This window comes from Homo sapiens, chromosome 6 (assembly GCF_000001405.40).
Source record: "Homo sapiens chromosome 6, GRCh38.p14 Primary Assembly".
Classification (NCBI taxonomy): domain Eukaryota; kingdom Metazoa; phylum Chordata; class Mammalia; order Primates; family Hominidae; genus Homo; species Homo sapiens.
In genome coordinates, this window is record NC_000006.12 from 71,006,994 (window position 1) to 71,017,927 (window position 10,934).

The following is a 10,934-nucleotide window of genomic DNA, read 5'->3' on the forward strand; positions in this document are numbered from 1 at the left end:
TCTTGTCTGATTTCTCTTGCTAATACTTCAAGTACTATGTTGAATAGAAGTGCCTTGTACTAAATCTTAGTGAAAAAGCTTTCTATTTTTTCCCATTGATTACAATGCGGGTTTTTCATAGATGGCCTTTATTATGTTCAGAATCTTTCTTTTTATACCTAAACTCTTGACAGTTTTTATCAAGAAAGAATTTGTGGACTTTGCTGAATGTTTCTTCCATGTTAATTGAGATGATCATGTAGATTTATCTTTCATTTGGTAAATGTGATGTATCACATTGGTTGATTTGCATATCTTAAACCAGACTCACATGCCAGAGATAAATCCCACTTGGCCATTGATATGGTTTGGCTGTGTCCCCACCCAAAACCTCATCTTGAATTGTAACCCCATATTCCCAGTAATCCCCATGTGTCAATTGCAGGACCAGGTGGAGGTAATTGGATCATGGGGGTGGTTTCCCCCATGCTGTTCTTGTGATAGTGAGTGAGTCTTGGATGATCTGATGGTTTGATAAACATCTGGTATTTTCCTTGCTTGCACTCACTCTGTCCTGCCACCCAGTGGAGGAGGTGCCTGCTTCTCCTTTGCCTTCCACCATAATTGTAAGTTTCCTGAGGCCTCTGCAGGCATGCAGAACTGTGAGCCAATTAAACCTCTTTCCTTTATAAATTATCCAGTCTCAGGATTTCTTCACATCAGTGTGAGAATGAACTAATACAGCCATTATGTATAATCTTTTTGATGTGTTGTTGGATTCAGTTTGCCAATATTTTATTGAGAATTTCTGCATCAATGTTAATCAGAGAAATTGGCCTGTAGTTTTCTTTTCTGGTGAAATCTGTACCTGGCTTAAGTAGGAAGGTAATGCTGGCCTCATAAATTGTGTTTGGAAGTATTCCCTCTACTTCTATTTTTGGGAAGGACATTATTGGTATTAATTCTTCTGTGAATGCTTGGTAGAATTTAGCTGTGAAGCCATTTGGTCTTAGGCTTCTCTTTAGTGGGAGGTATTTGATTACTTCTTCAATTTCCTTTACTTGTTATTAGTCTGTTTAGGCTTTCTTTTTCTTCTTGGTTCAATCTTGGTAGATCGTATTTTTCTGGGACTTTAACCAAGTCCTTTGGGTTAACCAAATTATTGGAATAAAATTGTTCATAATAGTCACTATGATTCTTTTTATTTCTGAGGCATCTGCTGTAATTTATTTTCATTTTTGATTTTACTTGTTTGAGTATTCTTTCTTTTTTTCTTAAACTAGCTAAGAGTTTTTCCGTTTTATTTATTTTTTTCAAAAACTACTCAGTTTTATTTATTGTTTCTGTGATTTTTGTGTTCTCTGATTTATTTCTGTCCTGGTTTTTATTACTTCCTTATTTCTGCTAATTTTTGGTGTAGTTTTTTTTTTTTTTTAGTTCTTTGAGATGTAATATTAGACAAATGTGTTTGAAATCTTTCTTCTTTTATATACAGGCATTTATTGTTATAAACTTACCTCTTAGAACTGCTTTTGCTGCATCCCGTAGATTTTGGTACACCGTGTTTCCATTATTATTTGTATCAAACTATTTTAAATTTTCCCTTTGATCTCTTTGACCAATTGGTAGTTCTGACCATGTTATTTATTGTCCACATATTTGTAAATTTTCCCTGATTCTTCCTGTTATTGATTTCTAGTTTTATACCACTACAGTCCAAAATGATGCTAAGTATGATTTCAATCTTCTTAAATTTGTTGACTTATTTTTTTTGCTTACCATATAGTGTATCCTAGAGAATGTTTCATGTGGACTGGTGCAAAATGTGGATTCTGCTGCTGTTGGATGGCAAGTTTTGTATATGTCTGGTATGTCCATTTGGTCAAAAGTGCAACTTAATTCCAGTATTTTCTTATTAATTTTCTGTCTGGTTGGTCTACCCATTGTTAAAAGTGGGACACTGAAGTCCCCTATTATTATTGCATTGCTAGTTATCTCTTTCTCCCTTCATGTTCATTAATATTTGCTTTGTGTATTTAGGTGCTCCAATGTTGAATGCATATAAATTTCCAATGGCTCTCTTCTCCTGGTTGACTCCTTCATCATTTAATAATGACCTTGTTTGTCTCTTGTGACACTTTTTACTTGAAGTTTATTTTATCAGATATGAGTGTAGCCACTTCTGCTCTCTTCTGGTTATCATTTGCATGAAATGTCTTCTTCCACTCTTTTACTTTCAGTGTACGTGTTTCCTTAAAGCTTGAGTTTCCTCTTGTAAGTAGCATATAATTGGATCTTATTTTTATAAAATCTATGTAGCCAGTCTGAGTCTTTTGATTGGAGAATTTAGTTCATTTACATTCAAGGTTATTACTGATAGGTAAGGAATTACTACCGCCATTTTGTTATTTTCTGTTTTTTTTAAAGCCCCTTTCTTTATTCCTTCCTTGTTTACCTTCGTGATTTGAATTTTTTTGGTAATGCTAAGCTTTGATTCCTTTCTCTTTACTTTTTGTATATTTGCTGTAGTGTTTTTCTGTTTTGTGGTTATCATGAGGCTTATCTAAAACACCTTATTTTTAAAATCTACTATTTTAAGCTGATGAAAACTTAACTTCTGTTGCATACAAAAACTGGAATTTTACCCTCTACCCCATTTATATTTTTGATGTCATAATTTACATCTCTTTATATTCTGTAGTCTTTAACAACTTATTGTAGCTTTAGTTATTTGTGAACATTTTTATGTTGCATCTTTATACTAAAGATAAGTATGATTTACACACCACACTTACAGAATTGGAGTTCTTCCACTAAGCCAAGTTCTATTGCTCCAGGGCACATCTCAGCAGCTTAGGCCCATGAGGCTGGGATGTAGCTGTGGTTCTGACCCTGGGGGGCAAGTTATACCACTGGCATGGCCCTGGGGAAGAAGGCATGCTCTGGAGGCTTAGGCCCCAAGAATCAGGGCATAGTTGCAATTTGGGACTCAGAACCAATAGGGCACTTTGGCAGCTTGGGACCCAAGGGATGAGGTACCACACAGAGTCACAGAATTGTGACTTTGGACCCTGAGATGGTGGGATATGGCAGTAGCCCAGGCTCTTTGAGGCCAGGGGCAGCAGCAGTAAGGACCCAGATGGCAAGATGCTGCTGTGGCTTTGTCCCAGAAGATGGGTAGGAGTGTAATGATGATTCTACTGCCTGGAGATTGGGGTGCCTCAGTAGCTTGACCTGAGTCAGGGCTAGTTCAGTTCCAGGTAGGCAGAGAACTGTGGTGGCTTGGCCTGGAAGGCAAGGTGATCCAGCTCAGCCAAGGCTTTGATTCCCCAGGATGCAAGGCACTGTGTCTACTGAGCCCTAGAAATTTCAGCTACCAGGTTCAGTGGAGCCTCTGCATCCCTGATGGTAGAGTGCAGGATGAGCTGGGGTGCTGGGAGGTGCAACTGCTCTCTTGTGCAGAAGACCTGAGGTCCCTGGTGGATGGGCTACTACATCTGCTCTGGGGCCAGGGTCATGACTTTTCCCGTGTTCAGGAGGCCACAGGACTGGATGCTGCCTCAGCTGTAGCTCTAGGGGTGTGACTGCTCTGAGAGTTCAAAGTTCTGGATCCCTGGCTGTGGGGTATCACTTCAGTTTGTCCCTGAGGAGAGGGAATACCAGCAACTGAGACGGCAGGATGAAACGGCTTTGTGGTAGCTTGGTCCTGGGGGTTGGATGTAGCAGCAACTCTGCTCAGAGATACTGGGCTCCTGGGTAGATGTGGGACAGGGGTGGCTGAGCCTCTTGGGATGGAGGTATACAATGGCTACTCACCCTGGAGCAGAGCTCACTCTAACATTGCTTCTGTTCCACAGTGGTGCAGAGAAGTAGCAGTACAGGCTAGTGGAGGCATGCAGTATAGGCTCCTCTAAGGTTAGCTCAGCATATGGACTCCAGGGAACTGTCTCAGCTGGGCTCAGAACCTGTGAGGACTGTAGGAGTCTCCAGTAGTGAAGACTGCAGGTAGCCGAGATGGTGATGGGGGTGCTGGGATCCTCTTGCTCACCTTTTCCCTGCAAGGAAAAGTCCCTCCTGGTTCCAAGCTGATCTCAACTGTGGGGATGGAGTGGTGGAGGCGAGGTATTTTCTTCCATTTTCTATGTGGCCATCTTGGGTTTCTGAGCTCTATAGGATTCCTGCTGGATTTTTCCTATTCCCTAGTGCTCTCTTTTAGCTATTTTAGTCAAAATGTAGTTATTTATTCATTGTTTTGTTCTGTTTTGTGTGTGTGGAAGAGTGCTAGGAGCTTCTAGTTGGCCATCTTACTGATGTCCTAATTTGTATGTCCTAATTCCATAAAGACTCCAAAGTCTTTATGGAATTCTAAATTTTTATGAATCCAAAGACAGCATAAACATAAAACAGGTTTATTTCAACTATAGACACAAAGCAAACATTTTTGTTGTGCATTCCTTGACTAAGGCCTTTAACCATAAGCTATGTAATACCAGACTAGATCACTATTGACCGTCCCTCACCTTCCTAAACTGTGCTTAGTGACAGCCGCTGACAAACCTGAGGAATAGGGAAGCCAACAATTACACAGTCCCAAACAAACATGGTATACAACCAAACCTCCACAATTTTACCATCTCTTTCTTCTTTTTCTATCTATCTGCCTGTCTCTGTCCCCTTCTCTTTCTCTGTTTTATGCACACACACACACACACACACACACACACACAGACACACACGCTTCCTTCTCCCTCCCGTCCTTTGCTGATGTGTCTGGGAGGGGGGCTGAATCAGGAGCAGGGGGGCTGGTCCCTGGCTTGGCTTTTTTTCTGGGTCACCTCTTGCTGACCCCCAGGTGCTCAGTTCTCTTCTCCGGTGCCTTGTTCAGCCCCCTTTGCTCTTGCTTCTTCATTTTTTTTCTGATGTGAAAACATCCTGGGAAATTTGCATATTTGGCTGTAGTCAGGAGGTCTTGGACAGGGTTTAGTGACTGTGTTGGAACCATTTGCTATTCTCTCACTAATCCCATAGACAGGAGATGGGGGAGTGAGGGTGGGTGGAATCTCACCACTGCCCCCTGAGAGGGAGTAACTGAATCAATAGCACTGTAGCTGTTTCCATCTGTCAGGGTGACATGCCAACTGGCTAATGCTGAATTATTGATACTCCTTCCCAAAGTGAGTTAACCAAACAATTCAAAATCAGTGAAAAGGGGGTGGTCGATTGCAAATGAGGTTAAGTCCATTTTGTCACAAGGACAGGAAGCTGATGGCTGCCTCCAAGCCAAATCTGCTTGATTTATGTTATTGCTGAGAGGTCTTCAGTGCCACAAAGGGAAAGAACACAATAGAACAACAAAATTAGCCTTTTTACAAAAGAGGATTCAGATCACTTTCCAAATGAGCCATATTTACTACTAGCTCCCCATCCCCCCAGCAGTAGAACTGGTATAGAAATAACCAGAAGGGAAGTTCTTTCATAGTTAAAAAAAAAAAAAAAAAAAGCCAAGGTTTCCTTGAAAAACTGGATTCCTCCATGAATTTGACCCTCAATCTTGACTGAAAGGTGATTACTGGAAACACAAAAGCTCACTGGCTAAATTCCTACTCTGATTTCTCTACCGGGTATTAGGATCCGTAGAGCAATTAATGAACCTGAGATATGACAACCCACTGATTTTACTGAGCAGTGTCTTGGGAGATCACAAAGCATTCTCTTATGTATTCAGTGTCATAAATTCTACCCTTTAGGGAGCACATTAATTGTTATGCACTGAGTAAACAGCTGCTTTATATTGTTTACAGAGGTGCCAGGAGGTGCTTGCCCTGAAATTGTGTATGCCCCAGGCTGCCAGGTGTAATAAATAAATGGGCAAGTTGTGAATTTCCATTCATTTAGATGGACTTTTTATTAAAGTGCCTGCCAAGACACATGCACAGACCAGAATGTTTAAAGAATTAACGTTCATAGATTTTAAACATTCCACAGCATTTCACCTGTCTACAGTTTTCAATCTTTCTCAAAGCCTAGTGAACTGTTACAAACACAGGTCTGTAGCACCATCTAGTGGACAGGAAGCAGGGGTAGTGCACAGATAACTGGCTATAAAATTTGAAAGCCAAATTTCGGGTATGGCCCAACCTTCTTGTTCATCGTAGGGTATCCCAGTCATATTCTGAGCAGAATGAAACATGAATTGGATGGCAGGAATGGGTGCTACAGTTTGGCTGAGGCATCCATTATTTGGGGAGGAAGCGGGGGTGGAGGCTGCAACCAGATGGAGCAGTGCATTGATCTGTGCATTTTGATCAGTGGAGAAATCAGTTATTAATCAACAAAGAACTATTGATTTCCCAGCACAGCTGCAGCCAGACAACAGCGTATCAGCTGTTACTATTAACAACCAGTGTTTTGGGAAGTTAACCACTAGCAACTCTGCCCTTGGCTTCAGTAAACAGATCATTAAATGATGGGAAGAACCTGAACTCTCCAGAGGGACAGCTAGAGGAGACTGAGGAATTTTAAACAAAACATGAAACTAATTTGCATTTTGTAGTTCAAAATGGAGCTAGTCATTAGCTCCTTTTAGACAAAAATAATGTGAAAACTGTATATTTATACTGTGTGCATTTTTTGGCTTAACTAAAAATTCAGTTATTAGGACCAATAAAAAAATCAATAATCAACAAATATTATCAACAGCCTACCTCGTACCAGGCACTCCTCTAGGGGAAACAGACATTAAATCCCTGCCTTTGTATTAATATTTAATAGTTGGCATCATGTGACATAGACATTATGGTGCTGCCACAAAGTGGAACCAAAGTTTCTCTAATTTTGTATAAACACACTTTAGAGTTACACTAAAATACCATTATGGCACGAGATATATTTCTCAAAAGAGAAACAATAACCAAATATATTCAGTTTAGCCATTAACATTTTTCTCTTATTTCACTTTAATGGGATTATCCTTATTGATAATGCTAAATATTTACTTGGGCCTTCAACAAGGGGTGTGTGTGTGTGTGTGTGTGTGTGTGTCTGTGTCTGTGAAATTGTCCTATAACCAGCAATTTCAGATGAATGAGTATAAAGTGCTTCAGGCACTTGGACTAAAGCTGGTTCCTAAAAGCTTGCTGCACAGGGTCCATTGTCAAAGGAAGAAAAACTGGTGTTGGAGGCTGCCTGCCATGCTGGGTTGATTATTGGGATTTCACACTCTGTTCTGTGGGGACAAGAACCATCCAACTCTGGAAGGATTGACATCTGGAGAATCTGGCAAGTTAGGGAAGGGACATGAGGAAAAACTATAGTTTAAAAAATTTTAATGTTATAGATAGGACTGTAAAAAGCCAGGAGTATGATAACAGGAGTTCTTCAATTTTAGGTAAAAAATTTATTTAAAAAATTTCCCAGCTTTAGTGAGGTATAATTGACAAATAAAACTTGTATATATTTACAATGTACAATGTAATGTTTTGAAATATGTGTATGTTGTGAAATGATTGATCAAGCTAATTCACATATATATTATCTCACGGAGTTATGTTTTGTGGTGAGAACATTTAAGATAATCTCTCAGCAGTTTTCAAGTATATAATATTTTTAAAAGTATATGTTATTATTGTTTATAGTCACCATACTGTACAATAGATCTCCAGAATTTATTCATCCCAACTGAAATTTTGTATTCTTTGACCAATATCTCCCCATCACAGCCCCTTCCCCAACTTATTTATTTCGGATTTGATTTGCAGAGCGATTGATAGACTTCTATGTTTCAGACACTGAAGTAACTAAGATGAGTAAGACAAGCTTCCTGCATGTGAGATACTTCTTCTTAAGTAATGGAGAAGAAACTTGGGTAATTACCATTAGTATGAAGAGAAATAGCTGATAAATAGTCTTTAGAGCAGTAGTTCTCAAACACAAACGTGCATTAGAATCACCTGCAGGGTTTGTTAAACTACCGATTGCTGTGACCACGCCCAGAGGTTTGGCTTCAGTAGGTCTTCGGTGGGTTCTGAGAATTTGCATTTCTAACAAGCTCCAGGTGATACTGATGGTTTGTCTACCACTATTTTAGAGGGGGGTGGTGGTGGGTAGGGAAGGCTTCAAGGAGGAGTGACAACTCTGCTAGGACTGGTAATAAATATTAAGAGTTTGGTAATGGAGAGGGGGCATGAGCATGCCAGGCAGAGAACGGCATGAGAAGATACATCCGGGAATGAGTGAGCCATTCAGGGACACTAAAGTTCCAGGCACACGGGGAAGAGCAGGGAGATGAGGCCCAAATTGCAGGCCAGGGCATTTCTCAAGGGCCTTGAGTGCTGGGTTAAGAGTCAGGACATTGCCCCATGAACAATGTGGAACCATTAGAGGTTTTTCAGAAGAGTGACATGATCAGATTTGTTTCCTAGACAGGAAATTGTTTACCATTTGAAGAGAGGAGAACCAGAGGCAGGAAAAGCAATTAGGAAGCTGTTTCAATGGTCCAGGTGATAGATATTAGGGGCTTTAACTGAGCTGATGGAGGTAGGAATGAACACACAAAAACAAATGAGAAAGAGATTTAGGAGGTAGGATCAATTGTAATTAGGGACAGAGAAAGAGGAACTGAGGTCCATGATGTAATGCTGGGGTGCCTGAATGGAAAGTCTTAGTGTAAGTTGAGATACTATAAGATAAAAAGTCATTTTTGGAGGAAAATAGTTAAATTGATTTTGGAAAGAATAAGCTTGAAGTGTTGTTTAAAAAAAAAAAAAAGAAAAGAAAAATGGGGACAGGTTGGCAGCACCTGTGTTAAGCCAGAATTGAACTAATGAACTAGTGATGGAATTAAGGTTTATATTCATCCTTTAAATGTTAAGCCATGAAAAGATGGACTCACATTTTTTTTTCTTATTATTTCAACATAGCCAATTGAAATTGGGAGTTCATGTAGTCAGGGCTACATAAAAAATTATTCTATCCACTACTCATACACATCCTATGTATAATGTGCTTAAAACATGATTAGAGAGATGAAACAAGGACACTTGAAATGATAAGAAGATTAGACTTTAAGTACATATTAAGTGAGTGATGTGGATGAGCGAGATTATTTCCAGTTAAAACATTCAGAGAAAGCTTCAACATCTTTCCCTTCTTCTTTATTACCTACCTCTTTTCTCTGACGCTCATCAATCAGGTATCTTTACCCCCTTGTTCATGCCCTTTGGCTAGCAGAAGGGCTGAGCAGAAAATTTCATAGAAACATAATGAAGATGTGTTAAGAGGCCCAGGAGATTCTCAATGGCAGGGAGTTAGAGGGCAGGTCAGAGACAGCAGTGTATCTCAATTTTAACGTGCACGGAATCACCTGGAAATCTAGTTAAAATGCAGATTCTGATTTGCCAGTGGGGCCTGAGATTCTGCATTTCAATCAAGCTCTCAAGTGATGCCTCTGTGCTGCTGGTCTGTGGACCATACTGAGTAGCAAGGTGCTAGGGCATTTTCGGCCCACGTGGTTGAAACTATTGGCTGTGGAGTTAGACAGATTCGAGACAGAATATTGCCTCTGTCAGTTATTAGGTGGTTAACCTTGGGCAGGTTATTAAACCTCAATCTAAGTTTTATCTTCTGTAATAATAATATCTTACTTATGGGGTTGATAATGTCAATGTTCTTTCTGACACCCATGGTATCCTTGAAGGATGGCTTTTATGCCATTTTCAGGGGTTATCTTTATCTTAAAAATTAATATTCAATTTAAATAAAGTTACAGATTCAAAACTTTAAGAGCTCAGTCAAGCAGTGTCAGTGTTTGAGTCTTAGCTCTCCTTACTCTGACTTTGGGCCAAGGACTTATCCTTGTACACATCAAATCATTTAACCTTCACCACAACTCTGTAGAGGTGCCTTTATTACTTCTAGCTGAGGTCTCAGTTTCCACTGCTGTAAACTGGGAATACTAATGGGGTAGTTGTGAGGAATAAATGAGTTAATGTGCAAAAAGTGTTTATAAAAGGCTTGGCACATAAAAAACTTTATCGTTCCTTAAGCCTTTAGGTTCAACTCACAAATCTTAGCTTTCTGTTTATAAATCTATAAAATTTTAACAATTATTTTTAAAGTAACATTTACGACTGAATTAATTTTTCTTATATACTTTAAATTGCATTTCTACAGTTGGTGTTCTTTATTTTCTTCAAGAAATCCAATTGTCTGAAAAACAGATCATATAAAGAACTTAAATAATCCTTATAAATATGAAACTTTAAACTTACAAATATGGGGAGTTTAAAGTAGTGACATAGCAATGGGAGTGACAGATGTGGTCCACTCTTGGGTACAGACAGTAAAGGGGTATGTGATCTGTAGATAATTTAAAAACAATAATAAAAGCAATTAAGTATTGTTGGTCTGCCTTTTATTATCATCATGTACTGACATACTATCAATAACAGTGACAAAATACTCCTTATGCTGGAATGGACCACTTCTATAGTCTGCACCCCTTGGTACACCCAGGGTAATCTTAAGTGCTCTTTAATGTTCCAATACTGCTTAGAATGTTGGCCAAATTCTCTTTTAGTTTTACATTAAAAATGACAATCTAACGCCAGGCATAGTGGCTAGTGCCTGTAATCTCAGTGCTTTGAGAGGCCAAGGTGGGAGGAACACTTGAGGCCAAGAGTTAAGACCAGCCTGAGCAACATAGCAAGCGCCCCCCACAGCTACTCAGGTGGCTGAGGTGAGAGGGTTGCTTGAGCCCAGGAGTTTGAAGCTGCAGTGAGCTATGATTGTGCCACTGCACTCCAGCCTGGGTGACAGAGCAAGATCCTCTCTCTAAGAAACAACAACAACAACGACAATACAACAACAAATGCAAAACAAATCCAAGTTGTCTCTAGGCTTATCTATAATAACTCATACATGTCTCTAAATATTATAAGTAATTAAAATAAAATATT

At 39.5% G+C, this 10,934-nt stretch overlaps 1 annotated feature.

The window, feature by feature from the left end:
* Window positions 2,878-3,378: an enhancer, noted in NCBI's record as "H3K27ac hESC enhancer chr6:71719574-71720074 (GRCh37/hg19 assembly coordinates)". NCBI's record gives its function as "activates a minimal SCP1, AML or CMV promoter by ChIP-STARR-seq in primed H9 embryonic stem cells {active_cell/tissue: H9 hESC(primed)}" and the evidence as "EXISTENCE:reporter gene assay evidence [ECO:0000049][PMID:30033119]".